This window comes from Homo sapiens, chromosome 18 (assembly GCF_000001405.40).
Source record: "Homo sapiens chromosome 18, GRCh38.p14 Primary Assembly".
NCBI classification, from domain to species: domain Eukaryota; kingdom Metazoa; phylum Chordata; class Mammalia; order Primates; family Hominidae; genus Homo; species Homo sapiens.
Window position 1 is genome coordinate 23,956,027 of NC_000018.10, and position 26,516 is coordinate 23,982,542.

Below are 26,516 nucleotides of genomic sequence, written 5' to 3' on the forward strand. Positions count from 1 at the left end.
ATCATCCATTTTAACACCTGCCTTTGGCAGGTCTACACTAAGCCGGTGGTTCTCTCTTCTGGGTCCCCAGTGTTAACCTCACTGAATCTAAGGAGTTATTCACTGGTGCCGATTATTTGTTAGCACTTCCTAGATTCATTAGAAAGGGGTAATGACCAGGTGTGGTGGCTCACACCTGTAATCCCAGCACTTTGGGAGGCCAAGGCAGGAGAATTGCTTGAGGCCAGGAGTTTGAGACCAGCCTGGGCAACATAGCAAGACCCTGTCTCTACAAAACAATAAAAAAAAATTAGCTGGGCTTGGTGGCACATGCCTGTAGTCCCAGATACTCTGGAGGTCGAGGTGGGAGGATCACTTGAGCCCAGGAGGTTGAGGCTGCAGTGAACTAGGATCACCCCACTGTACTCCAGCCTGTGTCTAAAAAAGCAAAAGAAAAACAAAAAGAAAGGGCTAGTTTATTCCTCACTGACTAATACCGATGGTTTTCCCCCATTTCGTAAAAGCTTGAAGAACAGCCACCTATCTGCCCTTGCTGAATACAGTTCCAGCCACCAGAAAGCAGCAGAGAGAGTCACAGATGAAATTACAGCTGAGGAAAAAGAACACCCTCAGTGTGGCTATTTGCAGATTGTAAATATGTGTTTCCTGAAAAGAATGTCTAGAGCTCCTTGACTGAACTTTCATGAGAATTGTTTGTGAACTATCAAATGCTATACAAATATTGTCACTGGTATGCTCTTCCTGGCTCATAGGCACACACAAATTGGGCCGACCTTGTGAGGAGAGTCTCGGGAGGGACAGCAGGATCTCTGGTAGACAACACTGACCAGTTCACGATGGGTCCACCATTGTTCCATCTTCGTTCAGTGGATTGGGGACTGGAAACAGTGCATCTCCCTGGGCAGCAGGCACTTCAGGGGCACCAAGTAACTGTAAAGCAATCGTGGGTCTGCACGGGCCTGCCTTCTTCAGCATCCCTCCAGGTGCTGGCTGACCTCACTCCTTAATACGTACAGTTATTGAGTTTTTGCCGTGCTCATAATATCCCTGTACCAGAGGACAGCAGCCCCGGACAGAACTCACTGACCTTCCCTTCTCCCAGGCAGGATGTGGTCCCACTTCCCCACAGAGAACTTGAACTCAGCTCCTTTCTCTACTCTCCCCAACCCCCAAAACTGCTGCACTGAAAACCCCTCACACCTCAGCGTCTGCCAGCCACTCTAACTCTTCTCTTCCGGTTCCCCAGTTCTCTTTTTACTAATTCCAACTTGGGCAGGTCAGTGGTAGCCCCCGAAAGGTCTTATTCTTCCTTTGGAATGAGGACTTACAGTCAGCATATGGGTAGAAAAAAATTTAAAATAACCTTTTTTTATTGAATATCAGTGGTATGTGTGTTCGTTATGGAAAAATTGGAATATGCAGAGAGGCATTAAAATCACCTAGAATCTCACCACTCCGAAATCTGTTTGTATATAGTTATATGTTCATTAGTCTTTTAATTCACATGTATTTTTTTACAAAAATCATGATGATACCATATATATTGTTTTTATATGGTTTTGCAAAGTCTATTGTGTTTCCTAGGTCTTTAACTGTAGAGCATTTTATTCTATCAGATGAATTTACCGTAATGTATTTAACCACCCTCCAATTATTCAGTAAATGGGGTTTTTTCTCTTTTCTTTTTTTTTCTTTTTGCAATTACAAGCAACACTAAAATGAAGATATCATGGGATATAAATTTATTTATTTTCTTAAGGTAAATTCTTAGAACTAACACTATCAGGTCAAAGGATATAAACATTTTAACGATTGTTATTAGCTATTACCAAATTGTTCCCCCAAAAGTTTATATCTGTATCTGTTTACACTCAGAATCATTTTAAGTTTGCCTTAATCCCTAATGCCACTGAATATGAACCCACCAAAGCTTGCCGATGGTCTTCAAGATGGGCAGCAGACATTTACATTCATGCAAGCCAGCTTGTAGAGGTCCACCCTGATCCAGGCTGATCTGAGCCAAAATCCCATCACCTGGAACAGGTGGTCAGCTGGTGGGTGTTTAGCTCTGAGGGGCGATCCTGCAAAACACCTTAGGAGAGGGGGCAGCCTGATGCTGAGCCCTGCAGAACTGGAGCTGGGCCACGGACGCAGCCAGGTTTTCAGAATGCATCACACTCGAGAACACCAAACCGGTGCCAAGCCTGGGCCGTGCTCCCAGAAAGGGTTGGAATAATGTGCTGAACTCTCTTCGCAGCACTGGGCCTCAGTGATCGGTCCAGCCAGCCGGCTTCACCCTCCTCCACCTTGGAAGTTTGCTTTCATTGTGAGTGAAACTTTCATAAGAATTCTCTCAGGCAGGATTACCAGGATTTCACTTGGGAAAAACTCGAGACCCCATCCCTCCCACCACCCTGCCCAACAGAGAAATCCGAAGCAGAAACTTCTTGTTGTATATAACTACATACAAACTTTTTTTTTTTAAACGTGGATGATATAATAGCAGTGGTAGAAAGGGATGGATTTCTTGTTTTCAGTTTCTTCTTTTGCCAAACAATATAGCTTAATTCTTCAGCATAGAAATTCCAGCACAATGTCTGCGTAGCTGGGAATAGAAAGCAGAGATGAAATCGGGGATATCCTTGTTAATCATCCTCAGGGCAAGGAACGTAATTCTCCCAAAGTAGAGGGACAGGGGCCTGAGATGGTGAATGCTATTGACTGGAAATGTCTTTTCTGCCTCGCTCATAAAGACTTGTATGACCCCAGTATATAAAGTGTAACTTTCCATTTCCAGAAGATTTCTTTCTCCATACATTTTGAATGTGTGGTTTATTTTACTCTACATTGAGCCCTTGATAAAATGAGAATTGGGAGTTTCAGAGGGCAGAGGGCCGGAACTTTCTGCAGCACTTGAGTCTTGCGAATGCACACAGGTCACACAGCAGCACACACTTACTGATTAAATCATCACTTGCTCAAAAGGCTTTTGCATATTAACCACTAACTTTAATCGTTTCACACTCAGGGAGCATGCATTTCTAAACAGTTAGCATGGAGCTGTGTGGCGGAGCTGCAGCTTGGCATGGTGTCCATTCGAAAGGCACATCTCGGAAGGTATTTACTATTCCTGTAGGAAATATGCTTCCTTACACATAAAGGTTATATTCTGGAAAACAGGTGGTTGAGCATAGCTAGTATTCAACGGCAGTGCTGTCAAGGGAGAAAAAATCCCAAACATCCATGTTTTCCCCAGAAGTGCAGTGTCCTTAGTGGGGGAGGAGGGGTTCTGCCAGAGGATGAAATGCATCCTAGGACATCAGGGGCACTTCCTGGGCCAAAGACCAGCTGCTACTGGGACAGCTTCTGCCTAGCCCAGCTCCCAGGGGGCTTTTCTCCTATTCCTTAGTTTCCTATAAACTATCTCTTCCCACTTTCCCACAATGAGAGGAAAGCCTCACCCCCCCCCCACCCCCCCCCCCACTTTGGAGAAGAGCTATTGCTCTTGGAAGTCTCTTGAATCTGAGCCACCCCTTATTCCCTTGGGCCTGTAATTTCAGCAGTGGTTTAAGCATGTAAGCTTTCTGTCAGGGCGTTTAAAATTTCCTAGAAGTTTGAGGGACAGAAATTACCTCCCTTGCTTCATAAGGCTTCTTTGAGAGTTAAATGAAATGGCAGATGTGAAAATGTTATGAGAATATCATTGTTAATATTATTACTATTGGCTGGGCATGCTAGCTCACACCTGTAATCCCAGTACTCTAGAAGGCTGAGGTGAGAGGATTCCTTGAGGCCAGGAGTTCAAGACCAGCCTGGGCCACACAGCAAGACTCCATCTCTACCAAAATAAAATAATTAGCTGGAAATGATGGCACCCACCTGTAGTCCCAGCTGCTCGGGAAGCTGAGGTGGAAGGATCTCTTGAGTCCATGAGTTCAAGACTGCAGTGAGCTATGATCACACCACTGCACTCCAGCCTGGGCAACAGTGCAAGAACCTCTATCAAATATATATATGATATATTACTATAAATGTGAATATATATCTTAATATATATTACTATAATCTATATTCAACTTTTGATATTTTCACTCTTTTTACAGTGTTTATAGTAGTAATATTGCTACTATAAGTACTACTATATATATTTGATATAAAATATATATGTATGTAACTACTATAAACAACACTGTAAAAACATGGAGTGGAAGTATCAAAAGTTGAATATTTCCTTGTGGCTTTAGTTATTCCTAGGCATGTTTGGAGATTTAAATATTTGGATATTCAAATATCAAAAAGCCAAAGACCTAATAAAGAAGTTTCCTATTCTACATGTGACATATGTTTATCACTTTTCCTGATTTGCCATTCTGAGGAAACAATGGAGAAAGTAAATGTTCCCCTGTTATATAGCATTGCTGTGTACATACGTAAGATGTATTTCAAATTAAGGAGAAACCTCTGGGACTGGGTGTGGTGGCTCATGCCTGTAATCCCAGCACTCTGGAAAGTCAGGGTAGGAGGATCTCCTGAGGTTAGGAGTTTCAGACCAGCCTGGGCAACATAGCAAGACCCTGTCTCTATAAGAGAAAACAAATTAGCCAGGTGTGGTGGTGCATGCCTGTAGTCCTAGCTACTCAGGAGGCTGAGGTGGGAGGATTGCTTGAACCCAGGAGTTTGAGGCTGCAGTGAGCTATGTTTGTACCACTGTACTCCAGCCTGGGTGACAGAGCAAGACCTTGGCTCTAAGAGGGGGGGATAAAAAAGGAGAAACCTCTGTAGAAGATGCTACCAGCACCCACTTCACCCTGACCACTTGAGAGCCTGCCACCCTGCCTTCTAAGTGCCAGCCCCAGCATTTCTTTGGCTGCTGAAGCCAGCATTGTTTACCTATGCAGCAGATCAGCTGTGCAGAGGATTAATGTCATAAGTGCAGTTCACCAGCAATGGCTCACAGGAGTCTGGGGCTAGCTCCCACACCCCCTGGAACCTGCATTTTCCCCCATATCCCGGAGTTTCTCCAGCAGGATTACATGCCAGTCACCCACAGCAGGATCTGGCTTGGGAACATTTCTTCCTCCACTGCCTTACCTTCCCTATCTCCTTCCCTCATCCCCTCCTCCTATTATTGGTCTTTCCTTCCCTTCCAACATAAATTCCCTGCACTCAAATTCCTGCTCAGAGTCTGCTCCAAGGGAACCCAAGCTTAGACACCCTCCAAAGAGTGGAAGGAAATCTTGTCCTAGGTTTTGACAATATTATATTTGTAATATGACTAGTTCTTGCTTTTCACAAAAACAAGGAATATTGCCTACTCTGCCCATTGTGTCAACCAATATCAAGAAATCCTTTGCTCCATGAGGATGCATTTTGACTGATTATTTAATACTCATGTTGTGATGTGAATTTTGACTGGATTACCCATGGAGAATATCTTCTGAATAAAAATATTCATTGGTACTAATGATATTTCATATTTGAATAGCACTTTACAGTTTGTAAATAAATTTAACATATATTTTCAATCAATGCATGAGAAGAAAAGGGAAGAGGAATTATCATCTAAATTCTAAGGTAGCATTATGCTACCTCTGTGTCAAAGTAAGTAAAGCAATCAAGTCTCCTAATGCCTGTATCTTCACTGCCTGGTAAAGCTTTGTGGCCAAGTGAAGGCTGCCATACCTCTTTCTAACCATGAAGGAGAAAGAGGACTGGGAGGCCTAATGTGCAGCCATTCACTTCTGGCAACTTCAGCTTCCATTTTTTGGATTAGTCTCCTCCTTTTCTTGATTTTCCAGCCCATACTCCTCTTTGGCTTTTTTTTAATCTTGGAGGAGGCAGACTAAAATTATCTCGTTTTACATTTTTTGATCCAAGGTAATAATATGTCCCCTTGAAGTTGGGTAACTGGCTAACCATTTAAAACATTAAAGATGGCTCCTTATCCTGCATCTTCTACCCAAATTAATTCCAGATGAATTGAAGATTCAAGTGAAATAAACCATCAAGTGCTGCAAGAAAACATTAGGAAAATTATTTATATGCTTTAGGTTGAGGAGTGGTTTTCTAAACATGGCACCAAATAAGGAAATTATAAGGAAAAAATTAGTAAATATGATCACATAAGAATATTAAATTTCTAGAAGGCAAGAAATGCAATGAAATTAAAATAGAGCACTGGAAAAATATTTCAACATATAACAGAGAAAGCGTAATCTTACAGATTAAGAGCTCTTGCAGATTAATTCTAAAAATATATAAACACCCCAATAATAAAATGGTAAAGGACAGGATAATTTAAAAAGAAGAAATACAAATTTCCCCTAAGCGTATGAGGCCTATCTTCAATCTAATTAGAAATCAAATAAATGTAAAATATGAAATATATTATTTTGTCTATAAAATTGACAAAGGTTGTTTAATCTATAAGTAAGCAATAGGATTGTATATTGGTATCACTTTGGGGCAGGAAAGTGGCAATTTGGGAATAGATATTGAAATTTTAAAATGTGCATTCTATCCTGCACATGGGCCCTGGAATTTAAATTAAAAGTTGAAGGAAAAAGCCAAAGGAAAAAAAAAATGTGCATTCTACTTCTAGGAATTTGTCCTAGTTAGTTAAGAAAGATATAGGCCAGGCATGGTGGCTCACGCCTGTAATCCCAGCACTTTGGGAAGCTGAGGCAGGAGGATCACCTGAAGGCAGGAGTTCAAGACCAGCCTGGCCAAAATGGCTAAACCCCATCTCTACTAAAAATACAAAAATTAGCCGAGCATGGTGGTGCACACCTGTAATCCCAGTTACTCTGGAGGCTGAAGTAGGGAGAATTGTTTGAACCCTGGAGGCAGAGGTTGCAGTGAGCCAACATCGTGCCAGTGCACTCCAGCCTGGGTGACAAAGTGAGACTCTGTCTTAAAAAAAACAGATATGAGTAACAATGCAACCATAAGGGTGTTCATATAGCATTGTTTGCTATATGTATTATATATTATTAATATGTGACATATACATATAATGTTGTTTTAAGTTGGAAATAAAATGTGCCCCAAGACCAGGTGCGGTGGCTCCCACCTGTAATCTCAGCTACTTGGGAGGCTGAGGCAGGAGGATCACTCGAGCCCAGGAGTTTGAGGCTGTAGTGAGCCACAGTTGTGCCACTTGTACTCTAGCCTAAGCAACAGGGCAAAACTCTCTCTCTTAAAAAAAAAGAGTTCCCTCAAGTCGGGTTAGGTGTAAGAAACGGGAAGCCTGGTGGCCTGTGTCCCTCTGAGAGAAGCACTGACCAGGATAAGTCTGATGCTTTAATAATAGTTCATTGTGTGCAGATGTCCCTAAAAACAGAGGCTACCCTCTCCATTCTTTACCTCAGCTTCCATTTTTTGACCCCAACTTGGATAAGTGAATCCTGCTTTATCCTCCAATTCTATCCCTGGTGGCTGAGGGCCATATGGTTTCACATGGTAGGGACAAGAGAAAATACATACTTAAAATCCTGCCTTTTCATCAAGATGTCACTAGGATCCCTGAGCAATAATGAAGCAATGAGGGGGATATCCAAGTCCACATCATAAATTTTCAGTGACCTGGAGATGGAGCCCTAAGCTCAACCTCTCTATGAGGGCTAATGACCCCACTCAACCAGATGCCCTGAAACTTGAGCCACGGTGGGTGTTGGGATTCCATGGCAGCACTGTGAGATAGAAGAGTGCTACCAGGACCCACAAAACTCCACTCTCCCTTCCCCTGTGTACCTTGTGCAAAAAGCTAATATTTCATTTGAAGAAATCCCACCCTGGAAAAAATAAGGAGTACCAGCCAAGAACTCATTCATGAGGGGAAGTTTACCAAGCATTTTGTTTTGCCTTGATCTCAGATGTTGCTCAACTGCCCCAGTTTCTCCAGTTCAGCAAGCACAGTGTTGCTCTTTCAAGAGGTAATTGGCAGGTAATTGGCTTTGCCAGCCATAACTCACAGACCTACCTCCCAGGAGATAATGAGATCTCAAAACACATGTGACGCATAAGGATGAGACCTTGCCCTGGTGATTCTGAGTCCCCAGGTATGGGTGGGGCCCAGAGATCTGCATTTTCTTTTCTTTTTTGTTTTTTCTTTGAGATGGAGTCGTGCTCTGTCTCTCAGGCTGGTGTGCAGTGGCGTGGAGATCTGCATTTTCAATAAAAACACCAGGTGATTTTCACAATCAGGCAAATGTGAGAAATATGGTAGTACAGCAACAAGGACTTGCATTAAATAGAACTTCACATTTCATGTAGGAGTCCCTAGAAAATGATCCTATTACTAGCATCCAGATCTAATAGAGAATCTGCACTTAAGTGAGGAGGCAACAAGGTAGCCTTTCTAGTAGAATACAAAGCAGCACGAACCTCCTGAGCTGCTACAGCCGGGGGACATATATTGGTGTTGCACAGGAAGCGTCAGGGAGGCCATGGTGCTGCCCAGTGGTGGAAGCCATTTTTTTCCTCTCCCATCTCAGTTAGAAATAACTCTTTACCTCCAAAGAGAATAGGGAGGTACCTGAGCCAAGACGTGTGTAATTCAGGAATGAAGAATGTGGAAAGGAGCATTACAGGCAGAGGGAAGAGCACAAGCAGAGGCACAGAGGAAAGAGGGCGTGGCTTAGGGGAACTAGAGAGAACCTCTGGTAGTGTGAGCAGGAAACGCAAGGGGGCAAGCGCTTGTAAGGAGATGATGCTGCGGGGCAGGGCTGTGCAGGAGCCAGGTCCTTGGGGGAACGTGCTGACCCCTGCTATCTACTGTGAAGCCCTGGACTTAGCAAGAAAGAGCCAGTTGGTATCTTTGATAAGGGCAATTTTAGTGGAGTGATGGTGAGAGAAGAGAGAGACCCTCTCATATTGTTTTATATTGTTTTATACTCATCACCTGTTTTAAGAAAACAACAAGGAAGTAAAACCAAAGAGGCAGCCTGGCGCCAGGCCCAAAACCAGGCCTGGGCCTGCCTGGCCTAAACCCAGTAGTTAAAAATCAACTCATAACTTAGAAACCGATGTTATTCATGGATTCCAGACACTATATAGAAGAACATTGTGAAACTTGCTGCCCTGTTCTGTTTCTCTCTGACCACTGGTATATGCAGCCCCTGTCACATACCCCTTGCTTGCTCAAATCAATCATGACCCTTTCATGTGAAATCCTTAGAGTTGTGAGCCCTTAAAAGGGACAGAAATTGTGCACTCGGAGAGCTTGGATTTTAAGGCAGTAGCTTGCCAATGCTCCCAGCTGAATAAAGCCCTTCCTTCTATAACTCGGTGTCTGAGAGGTTTTATCTGCGGCTTGTCCTACAATGGGGCCAGAAGTCAGATTACAATAGACTGAAGACAGTGAATGGGAAGTAAGAAGGTGTTAGCAGATCATGTCGATTACTCTTCCAAGAAGCTTAGTTGTAACGAAAAGGAGAACTTGGAGGACCTGTGATTGTGATGGATTGCTTTGTTTTGTTTTGATTTAAGAAAGCAGAATAGAATGTTTTGTATGCTGGGAAAGACATAGTTTATAGGGAGAGCTAAAAAGGAAGAGCAGAGGGAAAGCAGCCTAGTTACTGAAGAGGTGAGGGGGCAGGAAATGGACTTGGAGGACTCTTGGAGGGAGTGACCTTGAAGAAAGGTGAGGGAGCCCCTCTTCCCCTGAGCCTAGAGGAGAGGAGGTGACTGTAGGTGGAGAGAGATAGCATTGTGTACAGGTGGGGAATTTGGGGGCCTCTGTTTTCCTAGTGAATTAGGAGATAAGGTTGTCTGGGGGAGAAGGCTTGAGAAGAGTGGGCAAAATGTCAATGGGCAGTGCGAGGGCCAGTGGCCAGGTACACAGACAGTGGCTACTGAAGGAAACTGAGGACATATCATGGGTTATAGTTTTAGATAGGTTTTGAGTGGCACTGATTCACATAATTAACAGTTAGGTGGGCTGACGGATAGAAAATAAAGCTTATGGATTCTATTTCATTTTTTTCTTCTATTTCCATTTTCCAGGTGCCAAAAGCTGAGTTACTTACTGTCTTCATTTCACAGCTTGGTTGGCTCATCTCATCCAGGGGCTCTCACCTGCCCTTGCAGCAGAAGCATCTGAGAATCACTTAAAATACAGGTGTGTGTCTCCCTGCCCCACAGAGTTGATCTCAGGTGGGACCGGTATTCATGATCTTTAAAGCAGCCCAGGTGATTCTAATGAAGAGCCAGGATTGGGAAGCCCTCATCTTAGCTGTGTCCAGGGGAGAGTCCTTTCCAGTTCCCTGGTGAGAAACACCTGGAAGTGTATAAGAGATGACCAGGCCAGGCGCGGTGGCTCACTCCTGTAATCCCAGCACTTTGAGAGGCCGAGGCTGGGAGATCGCTTGAGGTCTTTGAAACTCTGTCTCAAAAAAGGCCGGACTTGGTGGTTCATGCCTGTAATCCTAACACTTTGGGTGGCCGAGGTGGGTGGATCACCTGAGGTCAGGAGTTTGAGACCAGCCTGGCCAACATGGTAAAACCCCATCTCTACTAAAAATACAAAAATTAGCAGGGCGTGGTGGTACAAGCCTGTAATCCCAGCTACTCAGGAGGCTGAGGAAGGAGAATTGCTTGAACCCAGGAGGTGGAGGCTGCAGTGAGCCGAAATTGCGCCACTGCACTCCAGCCTGCACGACAGGAGTGAGACTCCATCTCAAAAAAAAAAAAAGACCACTGAAACTTCTGGATTTTGTTTTATACACATATCTTTATGGTAAATGTACATAGCTTTCATTTTAAAGTGTCCTTTTCAACAAAATCTTTTGAATTTCTACAAAGTTCTGAGTTAAAGGACTGTTTATCATTTTAGGTAGATGGGAGGGCTGTCTGGACACATAGATCCCCTGGACTCAGAGGACCACACCGAGCATCACAGTGAGGAGCCTTGCTAAGCTAAGCAGCATGCATGCCCCTGTGGGGTGGTAGGTGCTTCAGCCTGACTGCCGTGTGTGCCGCTCATTACACTAGCAGAGCCCCTCCAGGAAGGAGGGAAGGAAACAGTATCAGAATTAAGCAGATTGTATACACACACACACACACACACACACACGCGGCATTCCCAACTGGCAACAAAGAGCAGGTGTTCCAGATAAGAGTAGCGGGAGAATGGAAGGAGTTGCCAGGTAGAATAGCAAATGAGACGTGTGACCAGGGAGAAAGAGTATTCTCAAATACTCTTGTGTCCCAAATGTGTCCTTCGCAGTTACATTTAAACCATGGAAGGCAGAGAAGCACTAAATTGTCTCCTTGCCTCAGAGGAGGGATGCCATCCAGGGCCTCTGAATAAATCAGCTGCTTTTGACCTTGCCAGTCATCTTCACACTGGTTGCCTAGTACAGGATGTGGTTGAAGCCACTGGGATAATAACACCTCCTAGGGCCTGTCTAATGCATGGCCATTTACACCACCCTGTTGTGGCTCCTCTCGCCTTTGACCCTCACCAAGGCTAACACTTACCATGGTTCAGGGAAGGGGAAGCTGGCCCCGAGCCCTCCTCTGATCCTACCATGACTTGCTGCCTGCTGCAGGCATTATTCACAAGTACTTGACCAGTTGCTAGAAACTGTCACACATTAAAAGCTTCTGCTTTCACTTACCAGGCAGGGAAAGCCGTGACCACAGAGCTTGTGGGTGCTGCCACCAGAGCATTCTCCTGAGAGCTGGTGCTGTCAATGTTGGGTGTTGGCGGAGACTGTTGGGAAGGAGGCTGGGCTAGCCAACTTGCCGAATTTCTCATCGCTGACCCTGCCACTCCACGTGCATAATCATGGGGCTCCTGCTAGTGTCATTAAGCCACACCCTACTGGTGCAGCACCACTAAGCCATGCCTACTGGGTCAGCACCATTAAGTCACACCCCATGGGTCCAGCACCGCTAAGCCACACCCCACTGGCTCTCTCCTTATTTCACCAGGGAGTCCTGCAGCAAGGAATGGTGCACGCTGGACCCCACCCTGTCTCATCCCACTGTGGCTGGTTTCTGCCACAGAAGGTGAGTCTTTGGTGAGGGACTGAGGAGCAGAGTTGTGTGGGTGCTGCAATAACTGAGGATCAAACCAAGTCAGGGTGGCCCATCTGCCATGATCTACCCCAAAGGGCGGGAAAGCCAGGAAGCCCCCAGGGCATCTTCTCCAGGATCAGCTGCAGCTGTTCTGTTTTGCTGTTGTTTTGGGTTTCCTTGTTGCCATTTGTCTTTGTTTTGTTTTGTTTTGTTTTTGAGTTCTCAGTAATCTGACAGGCACCAAAGTGGTCCCTTTGGATTCCATGCCCATCAGTATAAAATGGAGAGGGAGAGGAAGGAGCTAGGCTTTGGGATCAGCAGATGTGGGCTTAGGGCCTGGGCTCTGTTACACATGGATGCTATCATCTTGGGCAGGTTTTCTAACCTGATGAAAAACCAAATTGCCTGGCCCAACTCTAGCCCTAAGATAAAAAAAGCAAAAGACTCTTGACACTCACACAGGGCCCAGCTCCCATTTCCATGGTAGAAGTCTTCTAGGGATTTGAGTCAAAGCTCTGCCTGGTACAGAAGAGGGTGGATTTGCCTGCAACGTCTTTTGTGCTCACCGAGGGAAGCCTCCATAGGCCAGTAGGAGGCTTGGCCAGAGACAGGGATAGGCATGCTGATGTCATTTCTTCCAGAAACACATCTGACTGTGGGTACCATTCACCCGTCTTATAGCCCAAGCAGCTCAGGCTCCAAAAGCTTAAGCAATTTGCCACAGTTGCAATGCAGGTCCTCTGACTTCGTAGCACATGTTACCCACATGTGCTGGAATTGCATGGTGCAGGTGGGAGAAAGCTGAAAAAACCAAGTGTTTCAGTTGGCTGGAGGGTACATGCAAGGGAAGTACTGGGGACCAGGTTGGGAAAGATCATGGCCTCTTTTACAGAGCGTCTCTCTGCATCTGAACCTGACCTGTTTGGGACCTGGGACCTAGAGGAGCTGGGTTAGCAAATGGGTGGATATTTCAAGTCCTAATGATACTGTTGTGCTGTCAATTATTACACAAATCCAAGAGCTAACACCCCTTGGTCAGAAGACACTGCAGAATAATTGCAGAATAATTACAAGCTGGATAAAGCCCTCAGGTCAGAGGAAGGGAAATTTAAAATGGAGGAAACTAATTACTTTTCAGGGCAGTGATTCTCTGGCCTCAGACTTCAGCTAGATGCCCTCTGTACATTTCTTTCTCTTGGTATTTTTACTTACTCATAAAAGTGGACAGAAACCCAAAATAAAAGCAAATACTGGTGATGTGGCAAGACAATGTGAAGCATCCTGAGCTTTGTCCTCTTTCCTTCCATTCATTTCTTTTATGCAAATTGCTTCCTCCCTGTGCCTTGGGCATAATAAATATTCATGGAAGGAAGGAAAGAAAGGAATTGCACAAGTGGGAGATGAACTAAAATGTAAAGATTTCCAAGCCTTGCCCTCATTAGCATCATGTATTTTACTACTAAAGCTTAATAAGAAATGGAGCCACTAATTAATCCATGAAAGATTTTCAGAAAAAGCGCAACTCCTCATTTATTTGGTGAAAACTACAAAAACCATTTATTCTCCTGGGTCCAAAGTTTTCCCATGGTAAAATTGAGTCAGTTCAACCAATGGATCCCTGAGAATGACACGGTCACCTATGTGCAAAGTACCCCTGAGGGTTTTTAATTAAAAAGAAAAAAGAAATCTCTGGCTACAGATGAGAACTGCTTTCCACCTAGGAGAATCAGGTATTGAAGGAGCACGCCTACCCTTCTCCACGCTGTGCCATGAAACAACTCTCGGAACTTCCATGAGTGGCACTCATGCTCCAGCCACTCACAAATAGACCTTTGTGTCATTTATTCAGCACTTGGTAGGTCCAAGGCACTGTGCCAACCCCTTACCTATGCATCTCATTCAATCCCAACAATTACTTTGAGAATCGGGTATGATTATTGCATTTAGCAGGGAGAAAAGAGAGAGGAAGCCCCAAGTAACCGGGCCAGTCCTTATGGAACTATTACCCTATATTAATAATGCGTTCCTGATGCCTAGATGTCTGGGGCTTTGCTGACCCTGGAGGAACTGCCTTTCTCAGGGTCAGCTAATTTCTAGAGAAAGTAAATGACTTGCTTGGGAGCACCTTTCAAATGCAAGCCACCCAACCCAGAGCCCATACCCCGGGTGCCACCTCTTCTATTAGCTCTCACACTCAGGACCATGTGCTCCCACTCTAATCACCCTAGGGACAGATGGCAGACAGCAAGAGGCAGCCCCTATGTCCCAGACTCCTGTGAAATTATTCAAACTAGCAAATCATAAACCTGCTTACCCTGCCTGGCGCCATTCCTTCCTGCAGAAACCATGATAAAGACTCTTGCCTACGTTTCCCCCTCACTCCCTCTGCTGCCTGACTGGCCCTGGTACTTCCCCACTTGGCACCTGTGGCATGGTGTGGGCCCCTTTCTTGGAATATGTGAGTATCACAGAGTATCTTTTCAACGGCAATTGTCTTCTGATCTGTTGGCCTCCCCATACCAGAAAAAACAGACCCACATTCTAATACGCATGCCCAGTGTCGCCCCTGTGCTAATCTGAGCCAAAAAAGCAGAACCACAAATGGAAACATCACATCCTGTTTATCACTAGTATTGGTGTTCTCAAAGACAAATTAAGGCCTTTAGGGGTATATTCCAAGAGCATGAGAAAGAAGAGGGACTGCTAGTCTTACCCACTAATTCTATCCAAGATGCAGATAGCAGCCATTCATTTCCTGCTTGGTTTTTTATTTGTTTTTGAGACAGGGTCTGGCTGTCACCCAAGCTGGAGTGCAGTGGCACCATCATGGCTCATGTCAGACTTGACTTCCCAGGCTCACACGATCCTCCCACCTCAGCCTCCTGAGTAGCTGGAGCTACTGGTGTATGTCACCATCTCCAGCTAATTTTTTTTTTCATTGTAGAGATAGGGTCTTGCTATGTTGCCCAGGCTGGTCTCAAATTTATGGACTCAAGCCATCCTCCCACCTTGGCCTCCCAAAGTGCTCAGATTACAGGCATGAGCCACCACTCTTGGCCTCCTGCTTAGTTTTGATAACACAATGATGATGAAGAAGGAGAAATCAGTCTCTCTGGAGGATGATGATTTTTGCACATTCATCAAAAGGGGTTTAGAAACAGTTGGGAACAGCAGACGAACATGGTCATCCTTCCCCTCTGGTAGGCTGGCATTCTTACTTCCTCCAGAAAGCATTCGTCCACCATAGATGAAAGCTTTTTTTTTTTTTTTTTTTTTTTTTAGACGGAGCCTCACTCTGTTTCCCAGGCTGGAGTGCAGTGGCACAATCTCGGCTCACTGCAACCTCCGCCTCCCAGGTTCAAGTGATTCTCTGGCCTCAGCCTCCCAAGTAGCTGAGATTACAGGCACATACCACCATGCCTGGCTAATTTTTGTATTTTTAGTGGAGACAGGGTTTTACCATGTTGGCCAGGCTGGTCATGAACTCCTGGCCTCAAGTGATCTGCCTGCCTCGGCCTCCTAAAGTGCTGGAATTACAGGCGTGAGCCACTGCGCCTGGCCGAAAGCTTTTAAATTAGGGGTAAAGTTAGCTACCTAGAGACAGCTGGCCAAATTAGCATACTTACGGCAGATAATTAAGCCAAAGACTTTGGTTGAAAATAGGAATTAATCACCAAAATAACTTTATTTGGCCTGTTTCCCCCACACTGTTCTATCCTGACACACACAGGATTGTACATTTCCTGGAGCCATTCTTCCTACAACACCACATTTACGAAAAGCAGCTAACACATGAGTGAGCTTAAGGGCTTCAGCTGTGATCCTACTAATCCTGTCTTGCTTTTCAAGACTTCTGTACTCAGACACAAAAACACAACGTAACTCTTTAAAATCCAAGTACTAAAATAGCACCCAGAGCCTACATCTTCTTTCAAAGGCATGTTTTCAAAGGAGTTTTAGTCACCCAAGATATAGCTAGCTTCCAATGATCTGAATCACACAGTTAATAGGACTTAGCTATCCACGTTGATCCCAGGTAGCCACTGTCAGCACTAGCTTCCATTGTTTGTACCTAAGTAATTGATGGAGGATCGCTTAGGGACTACAGAATGGCAGGTTCTACAATAGGAACACCTAACCCAAATTTTGCAAATGTAGGGCTTCCAAAAAAGGATAGAGTATAGCAGATCCAAAAAATAGGTTAGCATTATTCTTTTTAATATCAAACTACTCCTTACCTGTAAATGAGGGTGGTGTTAATTCTGTAAATATTGGAGTGGCTTGGGGACCACCTGAGCTCCCTTCTATAGACACAGGCTTTGTTCTGTGTGAACCCCAGACTCATGCACATCCAAATGCCTACTTTGTATCTCCAGTTGGATACCAACCAGGTACCTGGAGCAGAGTATGCCCAAATCGAAACTGTTAATTCATCTAAAGTTGTTCATCTCCAGAATGCCCCAATTTCACTAAAGAGTCTCACTGTCTACCTCACTGCTCAAGACAAAACCCTCTGAGTCATCTTTGATTCCTCCAGGCAGTCCTTTCGGCTCTGCCTCCTACGTACATCTCAAATCAGTACTCGTGTTTGTGTCTTCACTGTCACTCCCCAAATCAGGTCATCAATTTTTCTCCTGGGCCACTGTGATAGCCGCCTCACTGGGCTCCCTACGTCAACTCTAGCCTCTCCTATAAATCATTCTTCCCATTGCAGCCAAAGGGATTTTTTTTTAACACATCAGATCATGTCTCTCAGGAAAATTCTTTATTGAGAAATAAATGTTTGAGACTCTTATTACAATGAATGTGTTCGTCATCTATTTCAATTAGGCCTGAAGGGAAAAAAACCAAGGACTTGATACTTTCTTGGGAAAAAAATAAAAAGAGGAATTCAAATCCCGTAGAAGGTACAGAGAGTGGGCTGAGTACAATTTTTTCTATGCCAATCAATTAGTATGTTGCTTTTGGATTGATGGTTTTTATTCTACAGGAGATAATATGACACTTTTAAAGTCTGGGTGGTTTTTTTTTTAAGTTCTTATAAATCAGCCAAGACATTTTTATAATTCAAAAGTACAGAAGAAGTCTCAATCTGACACAACAGGCCTTCACCCCAACAAGATTAGGATTTATATTCTAAGGGTCTCCAAGTCAAATGTCCTGTAAATATTCCCAGCCTTTCTCCTTAACAATTAGCTGTAAAAGGCTGTATAGCTCAGGGCCTGTCTCCCATGACAGTGAAGTCAACAGTCTGTCATATGCCCAAGGTTCTTTGCTAACAAGTGCTTATTAGAGGTCTGCAGTCTCTGACTTCAGCATCATTTATTTTATTTTATGAAGTTCCAGGATACATGTGCAAGATGTGCAGGTTTGTTACATAGGTAAACGTGTGCCATGGTGGTTTGCTGAAGCTATCAACCCATCACCTAGTTATTAAGCCCAGCATGCATTAGCTATTTATCCTGATGCTCTCCCTTTCCTTGATCCCCGCCTGCAACAGGCCCCCGTGTTTGTTGTTCCCCTCCCTGTGTCCATGTGTTCTCATTATTCAGCTCCCACTTACAAGTTAGAACATTTGATATTTGGTTTTTTTGTTCCTGCATTAGTTTGCTGAGAATAATGGCTTCCAACTCCATCCATGTCCTTGTAAAGGACATTATCTCATTCCTTTTTATGGCTGCATAGTAGTCCTTGGTGTACATGTACCACATTTGCTTTATCCAATCTATCATTGATGTGCATTTGGGTTGATTTCAGGTCTTTGCTATTGTGAATAGTGCTGCAATGAACATATGAATGCATGTATCCTTATAATAGAATGATTTATATTCCTTTGGGTATATACCCACTAACGGGATTGCTGGGTCAAATGGTATTTCTGGTTCTAGGTTTTTGAGGAATCGCCACACCGTTTTCCACAATGGTTGAACTAATCTACATTCCCTCAAACAGTGTAAAAGTGTTCCTATTTCTTGGGCAGTCTTGCCAGCATCTGCGGTTTCTTGACTTTTTAATAATCACCATTCAGACTGGTGTGAGATGGTATCTTATTGTGGTTTTGATTTGCATTTCTCTAATGATCAGCGATGATGAGCTTTTTTTCAAGTGTGTGTTGGCTGCATAAATGTCTTCTTTTGAGAAGAGTCTGTTCATATTTTTTGCCCACTTTTTAATGGGGTTGTTTGTTTTTTTCTTGCATATTTGTTTAAGTTCCTTATAGATTCTGGATATTAGAACTTTGTCAGATGGATAGATTACAAAATTTTTCTCCCATTCTGTAGGTTGTCTGTTCACTCTGATGATAGTTTCTTTTGCTATGCTGAAGCTCTTTAGTTTAAATAGCTCCCATTTGTCAATTTTTGTTTTTCTTACAGTTATTTTTGACATCTTCATCATGAAATCTTTGCCTGTGCCTATGTCCTGAATGGTATTGCCTAGATTTTCTTCTAGGATTTTTATAGTTTTGGGTTTTGCATTTAAGTCTTTACTCCATCTTGAGTTAATTTTTGTAGAAAGTGTAAGGAAGGGGTCCAGTTTCAATTTTCTGCATATGGCTAGCCAGTTCTCCCAGCATCATTTATTAAATAGGAGATACTTTCCCCATTGCTTGTTTTTGTCAGATTTGTCAAAGATCAGATGGTTGTAGACATGCAGTCTTATTTCTGGGTTCTCTATTCTGTTCCATTGGTCTATGTGTCTGTTTTTGTACTGGTACCATGCTGTTTTGGTTACTGGAGCCTTGTAGTATAGTTTGGAGTCAGGCAGTGTCATGCCTCCAGCTTTGTTCTTTTTGCTTAGGATTGTCTTGGCTATATGGGCTCTTTTTTGGTTCCATGTGAATTTTAAAGTAGTTTTTTTCTAATTCTGTGAAGAATGTCAATGGTAGTTTAATGGGGATAGCATTGAATCTATAAGTTACTTTGGGCAGTATGGCCATTTTCATGATATTGGTTCTTCCTATCCATGAGCATGGAATGTTTTTCATTTGTTTGTGTCCTCTCTGATTTCCTTAAGCAGTGGTTTGTAGTTCTTCTTGAAGAGGTCCTTCAGTTCCCTTGTTAGCTGTATTCCTAAGTATTTTATTCTCTTTGTAGCAATTGTGAATAAGAGTTCATTGATGATTTGGCTCTCTGCTTGTCTGTTGTTGGGGTATAGGAATGTTTGTGATTTTTGCACAGTGATTTTGCATCCTGAGACTTTGCTGAAGTTGTTTATCAGCTTAAGAAACTTTTGGGCTGAGACAATGGGGTTTTTGAGATATAGGATCTTGTTATCTGCAGAGACAGTTTTAACTTTCTTTCTTCCTATTTGAATACCCTTTATTTCTTTATCTTGCCTGACTGCCCTGGCCAGAACTTCAAATACTATGTTGAATAGGAGTCATGAGAGAGGACATCCTTGTCTTGTGGCAGTTTTCAAGGGGAATGTCTCCAGCTTTTGCCTATTCAGTATGATATTGACTGTGGGCTTGTCATAAATGGCTTATTATTTTGAGGTATGTTCCATCAATATGTAGTTTATTGAGAGTTTTTAACATGAAGGGATGTTGAATTTTATTCAAGGCCTTTTCTGCATCTATTGAGATAATCATATGGTTTTTGTCTTTAGTTCTGTTCATGTGATGAATTACACTTATTGATTTGCATATGTTGAACCAGCCTTGCATCCCGGGGTTGAAGCCGACTTGCTCATGGTGGGTAAGCTTTTTGATGTGCTGCAGAATTCAGTTTGGCAGTATTTTATTGAGGATTTTTGCTTCGATGTTCATCAGGGATATTGGCCTGAAGTTTTCTTTTTTTGTTGTACCTCTGCCAGGTTTTGGTATCAGGATGATGCTGGCCTCATAAAATGAGTCAGGGAGGAATCCCTCCTTTTCAATTATTTGGGATAGTTTCAGAAGAAATGCTACCAGCTCCTCTTTGTAACTCTTGTAGAATTCAGCTGTAAATCCATCTGGTCCTGAGTTTTTTTTGGTTGGTAGGCTATTTATCACTGCCTCAATTTCAAAAATTGTTATTGTTCTATTCAAGGATTCAACTTCTTCCTGGTTCAGTCTTGGGACGGTGTATGTGTACAGGAATTTATCCATTTCTTCTAGATTTTCTAGTTTATTTGCATAGAGGCTTTATAGTGTTTTCTGATGGTTTATATTTCTGTGGGGTCAGTGGTGATATCCCCTTTATCATTTTTTATTGTGTCTATTTGATTCTTCTCTCTTTTCTTCTTTATTAGTCTACCTAGTGGTCTATTTTATTATTTTTTTCAAAAAACTAGCTTCTTGATTTGTTGACTTTTTAAGGGTTTTTTCATGCTTCTGTCTCCTTCAATTCCACTCTGATCATGGTTACTTCTTGTCTTCTTCTACCTTTGGGGTTTGTTTGCTCTTGGCACTCTAGTTCTTTTAGTTGTGATGTTAGGATGTCGATTTGAGATCTTTCTAGCTTTTTGATGTGGACATTTAATTTCTCTCTTAACACTGCTTTAGCTGCATCCCAGAGATTCTGGTAATTGTCTCTTTGTTCTCATTGGTTTCAAAGAACTTCTTGATTCCTGCCTTAATTTCATTATTTACCCACGAGGCATTCAGGACCAGCTTGTTCAATTTCTATGCAGTTGTCTGGTTTTGAGTGAGTTTCTTAATCCTGAGTTCTAATTTGATTGTGCTGTGGCCTGAAAGAGTGTTTGTTATGATTTCAGTTCTTTTGCATTTGCTGAGGAATGTTTTATTCCCAATTACTGATTGATTTTAAAGTAAGTGCCATGTGGCACCAAGAAGAATATATATTCTGTTGTTTTGGGGTGGAGAGTTCTGTATACATGTATCAGGTCCACTTGATCCAGAGCTGAGTTCAAATCCTGAATATCTTTGTTAATTTTCTGTCTCAATGATCTGTATAATATTGACAGTGGGGAGTTAAAGTCTCCCACTATTATTGTGTAGGAGTCGAAGTCTCTTTGTAGGTCTCTAAGAACTTGTTTTATGAATCTGAGTGCTCCTGTATTGGGTACATGTACATTTAGGATAGTTAGCTCTCCTTGTTGAATTGAACCCTTTACCATTACGTAATGCCCTTCTTTGTCTTTTTTAATCTTTGTTGGTTTAAAGTTTGTTTTTTTCGGAAACTAGTATTGCAACCCCTGCTTTTTTCTGCTTTCCATTTGCTTGGTAAATTTTCCTCCGTCCTTTTATTTTGAGCCTACGTGTCTTTGCACGTGAACACGGGTCTCTTGAATACAGCACAACAGTGGGTCTTGACTCTTTATCTAGCTTGCCATTCTGTCTTTTAGTTGAGGCATTTAGCCTGCTTACATTTAAGGCTAATATTGTTATGTGTGAGTTTGATTCTGTCATCATGATGATAGCTGGTTATTTTGCAGACTTGTTGATGTAGTTGCTTCATAGTGTCATTGGTCTTCATACTTCAGCGTGTTTTCATAGTGGCTGGTAACAGAGTTTCCTTTCCATATTTAGTGCTTCCTTCAAGAGCTCTTGCAAGGCAGGCCTGGTGGTGATGAATTCCCTCAGCATTTTCAGCATAATTTTTAACAACTCAATTTTATTAGCCTCTCAAAACTATAGGCTTTGTAGGTTTCCAATTCTACATTAAAGAATGCGGGCATTACAATTTCCTATTTCAATATGTTTCTCTCCTACTTAAAAACTACTGTGTATAGCCAGGTGTCATGGCATGCACCTGTGGTCCCAGGTACTTGGAAGGCTGAGGCAGGAGGATTGCTTGAGCCAGGGTGGCTGAGGCTGCAGTGAGCCATGATGACATTACTGCACTCCATCCTGGGTGACAGGAAGTCAAGGCTTGAAGTCAAGGCCCTGCAGGGGGTGACCACCACCTTGACAGACTTCTCTCCCACACTCCACCCAGCCCCCAGCCTCCTGAGCTCCTTCCTCCTTCTCACCCACTCTAAATGCTTTTGTAAGATCATGTCACTTCTTCTTCCCTCTGCCTGAATATGCTGTCTTGGCTCTTTTCATGGCTGACCCTTCAGGTCTCAAATTAAATGTTGGCTTTGGACAATCCATATGAGCTAAGAATGTGTTCAGCTGCAAGTGACAGAAAACCAGTCTAGCCATAGCATTTAAAATATAGAGCTTTCTTTTTCTTACTGAGCCATTGTGAGAGATAGTTACTGGCTCTTGTTCAGCTGCTTAATGACATCATCAGGGACTCAGCCCTTCAGAGCTTTCCGCTGTTCCACTTTTATCTTCATGCTTGCTCTTTCATGATCTCAAAAAGGCTGTTGCCAGGCCAGATGGCTCATTCATTTTGTTTAAGGCAGAGAGAATGGGGGAAAAGGTAAGAGGCTTTCTCCTCACCAGGCAGGAACAGAAGTCTCACTTACCCCCACCCAGAGGTGACCCCTTGAATCTCACTGGGTTTCCTGTCTCCTTTTAAGCCAGTCACTCACCAAAGGAAATAGGATAATCACACTGATTTAGACCAGTTGTGATTTACCCCTAGAATTGGGGTAGGAGCCACCTTCTCATGATCCAGGAATCCCTGGATGCCACCTGAACACACTAGGTCCTCCTAGAATGGAAGGGGAGCTGGGTCCAGTGGCTCACGCCTGTAATCCCAGCACTTTGGGAGGCCAAGGCACATGAATCACTTGAGATAAGGAGTTCAAAAAAGGCTAGACAACATGGCAAAAGCATGTCTCTGCTAAAAATACAAAAAAAAAAAAAAAAAAAAAATGCTGGGTGTGGTGGCATGAGTCTGTGATCCCAGCTACTTAGAAGGCTGAGGTAGGAGGACTACTTGAGCCTGGGAGGCAGAGGTTGCAGTGAGCCGAAATCGCACCACTCCACTCCAGTCTGGGTGACAGAGCGAGACTCTGTCTCAAAAAAAAAAAAAAAAAAAAAAGGAAGGGGTCAGGAGTGGAGGGGACTGGACCATGTATGCCATACCCCTGTCTCTTTACCTTCTATCATATCACCCTACTCTATTCATGTCCTATATTGCAGCAGCCATAATCTGTAAGGACTTGTATATTTCTTTGTTTACTTGTCAATTGCTGATTTCCAGCACTGGAAAGGAAGCCCCTCAGTGAAGGCAGGGACCTTACTGGTCTTGTTCACAGATGTAGCCCCACTGCCTGGCAACCAATAAATGTTTCTTTGGATCTATAGATAAAAATTCCTACTGCTATTTTTTGACCACTCCTTATACATCTAGCTGCTTTGCATATGTTAGTGCATTTAATACTCCCAACTTTCCATGCAGTCCATATAAGTCTCCCCACCTAATAAATGGGAAAAAGCAAGACTTCAGAAAGATCTAACACCTGTAAAGGCTTCCCAGTGAGTGGCAGGCCTTGGGTTTGAACTCCAGTATCCAAGCTCCATGCCTAAGTGATGCCATGTCATAGATGTAGCAGGTACTTGTAGCCTGCCTATTTCACATCCTCTTGGCCCATCTCTGTTCTCAGCACAGCTGTAGGGAACAATTTCATGCCAGCTCTTCTTGCTCTGTGCTGACAGGGCCCAGGATGCTCTATGCCAAGTACAGCCTGGAGGTGCAGGCAAATTATCTCCAGGAAGAACCTTCAACCAGCAGAGGATGGGAGCTGGTAACATCTCCGGCTTCTGTACTTCAGGTAGACAATTCTGGGATTCTGTATACTCCTGAGAGCCCCATTAGAAAAGAGCACTCCCCTGACTGCTGACTGCCCATTGCCTCCATTGCAGGCAGATTAAAGGCCCCCAAAGATGTCCACATCCTAACCCCAGAACCTGTGACTATGTTATCTTTTATGGTAAAGGGGGCTTTGGAGATATGATTATAGACCTTGAGTTGGGGAGAGGAGCCTGGATTATCCAGGTGGGCCCAATCTAATTACATAGGTTCTTCAAAGCAGATAATTTTTCCCAGCTGTGGTCAGAAAGAGTGTGATGACAGAAAACGGCTCAGAGAGATGTGATGCTGTTGGCTTTGAAGATGGAGAAATGGGCTGCAAGTTAAGGAATGCAGGTAACCTCTAGAAACTAGAAAAGAGAAAGGATTCCCTCCTAGAGACTCCAAGTGGAACACAGCCTTGCTGAGATGTTTAGCTCAGTGAGACCCACGTTGGACTTCTGACCTACAGAACTGTAAGCTACTAATTTTTTTGTCGTGGTAAGCCACTACATTTGTGGTCATTTGTTACAGCAGCAATTGATAACTAATACACCCCATATTATTAAGTGCCTTAATTATATGCACTTATATTGGTTTTTCCTCCATCCCTGTCTCTCCCTACTTCCTAACTCCTTCTTCCCAGGATTATAATTACCTGTACCCAAGTCGTTCTCTCAGGTGCTGTTTCATAGGGCACAAATGCTAAGATCATGGATACATTTTGTACCAACCTTAGTAGTTCTCATATGCCCCATCCCCATACCCAGTTTGCAGTAATTCTGGAATCAATTCAAGGAGCAGCTAAGATTCTTAGCTTCTAAACTAATTTACAAGTTGCAACAAACCTATGCCGTTCTCAAAGGAATAATTAACACGCTCTTGGCTTCTAATTTAAAAACTGTGTGATCATTTTAAATGACATATTTTATTGATTATTATTTCTAAATCTTGTCACCTTGATTTATGCTGTTTGGAAGAAACTCAATGTCTTAAAGAGACATTATTAAAATGGAATGGAGCCCAACTATTTTAACTGAGCTAAGATCTTTTGAAAATATACTAGTCTATACTGCCTGATGATGAAATTGATACTGCTAAGGAAATAATAGTGATTGTTATCATCAAGTGTTCAGCAAGCCAGGTGCCGGTGGCTCATGCCTGCGATCCCAACACTTTGGGAGGCTGAGGCGGGTGGATCACTTGAGGCCAGGAGTTCGAGACCAGCCTAGCCAACATGGTGAAACCCATCTCTACTAAAAATATGAAAATTAGCCAGGCATGGTGGCGGCATCTGTAATTCCAGCTATTCAGGAGGCTGAAGCAGGAGAATCGCTTGAACCCAGGAGGCGGAGGTTGCAGTGAGCCAAGATCGCGCTGCTGCACTCCAGCCTGGGCAACAGAGCAAGACTCCATCTAAAAAAACACTGTTCAGCACAGGAAGCTTTGAGGATTTCACAAAGTATATGTCTATGCAATATACAATTGTTCAATTGTTCCTCCTCTTCCTATTTTCAACTCTTCGAGAGTATGTTACTCTGTCCTTAAAGGTATCCTAACCCAGATTCAGGGAGCTGTGTAGTAATCCACAAGGCAGCATGAATTCTGAGAGACTGTGGCAGATATGGTGGTGGCGGACACCATGCAAGACTTTTGTACTACAGAACCGAGCTCCTACCTTTTTCACGCTTCTTTTCCAATAATTACTTGTAATCCTGCTAAAGTCTGAACAGGTGCAGCTCATGTTCTTTAAAAGGATTAATAATGAAAGGCTGTTTGAAGCCACAGGCGACAGGAAACCTAGTTCTGTCTAGAAATGCTCTTGTGTACATATGTCTGCTTAAGAGAGGGGTGGCTAGAAATAGCAGGCCAGGCAGTAACTCACTGGGCTCCGCTCTAATGCTCTGTGACTGGGGAAGTTTGCAAAGGATTTCCCGAGCAGGCAGCGGGCAGCTCTCTGCAGCACTCCCTCTGACAGCTGCTCAGCATTAGGGACAGAAGGTGCTGCAGGGAACCCTGACACTGCCAGGGCTGCACTCCCTGCAGCTCCCCTGTGCTTCCACTCAGGAATCGATGCAGCACATCTTTGGAAAGTTTGTTTCCTCTAAAAACAAAAGGTTGTTCAGAGGAGATTTAGTCTGCATCGCATTAGATGGCAAGTCAGTAAGCATATGAATATCGCCATCCCTGTACCTCCACAGTCACAGCAGGTTATGGGCTGCTGGCCCCCATGCCTCCCAGTGTCAGGGTGACAGCATTCGGGAATTGAAGGATTAAAGCCAGCCACCCATTCAAGAGAAGGAGAGAAGCAGGGAAACACTAAGCACTTAAAATGCTCTGCTCCAAGATGCTGCGCAGGACAGCCAAGAGAGAGGGCTGTGAACTGAGGGTTGGGGTTTATGTAATTATGTGTCTCTAAGGGAAGGACAGAGGAAGAGAAGAGAAGGAGGGAGGAGGAATGAAAGGAAGGAGGTAGAAGTGAATAGAAGGAGGGAAAAAGAAAGGGAGGAAGGCTTTGTTCCAGAATCTGGAATTGGTTCTGAACAAAACGTTGAAATGTGTGAAGTTAGACTCCGAGGCCTCTCCATCTCTCTGTATTGTGTTAGGAAACCTTTCTCCCCCAGGGGCACAGATCCTCCCAGGGGCGATAACCATGGCAACCTCATTTGAGTGGGATGGGTCCCACTTCTCACCTTGCTCCTTGTCAGAGTCGGCCTGTCCAGCATGCCACTCTCTGTCCTGATGGCTGCCTGCTCACAGAGGGGCAGCGATGGACAAATGAAGACATCATGGCAACCAGCTAACATGTTCCATCTCTGAGAGAAAACAGCTTCTCTCTTCGGGCAAAGCTACAGAAAATGT

General features: G+C 43.5%; 1 long non-coding RNA gene across 4 annotated transcripts, besides 2 other annotated features; it reads right to left on the reverse strand.

Moving 5' to 3' along the window:
- On the reverse strand, positions 1,728-26,516 carry LINC02958 (long intergenic non-protein coding RNA 2958). 4 transcript variants are annotated; one of them, NR_186640.1, is made up of 4 exons: positions 26,348-26,516; positions 7,982-8,164; positions 3,880-3,977; positions 1,728-2,605 (listed from the first exon to the last, which is right to left on the reverse strand). It is a non-coding gene; the product is annotated as a long intergenic non-protein coding RNA 2958 (long non-coding RNA). The 4 variants fall into 4 exon arrangements; NR_199649.1 differs by having other exon boundaries at positions 3,880-3,999; NR_199648.1 differs by lacking the exon at positions 3,880-3,977 and adding an exon at positions 11,622-12,825.
- Positions 16,665-16,865: a silencer, noted in NCBI's record as "peak3071 fragment used in MPRA reporter construct". NCBI's record gives its function as "represses an SCP1 promoter by STARR-seq MPRAs in K562 erythroleukemia cells {active_cell/tissue: K562}" and the evidence as "EXISTENCE:reporter gene assay evidence [ECO:0000049][PMID:32103011]".
- Positions 25,697-25,806: an enhancer, noted in NCBI's record as "active region_13166". NCBI's record gives its function as "activates an Ori minimal core promoter by ATAC-STARR-seq in GM12878 lymphoblastoid cells {active_cell/tissue: GM12878}" and the evidence as "EXISTENCE:reporter gene assay evidence [ECO:0000049][PMID:35858748]".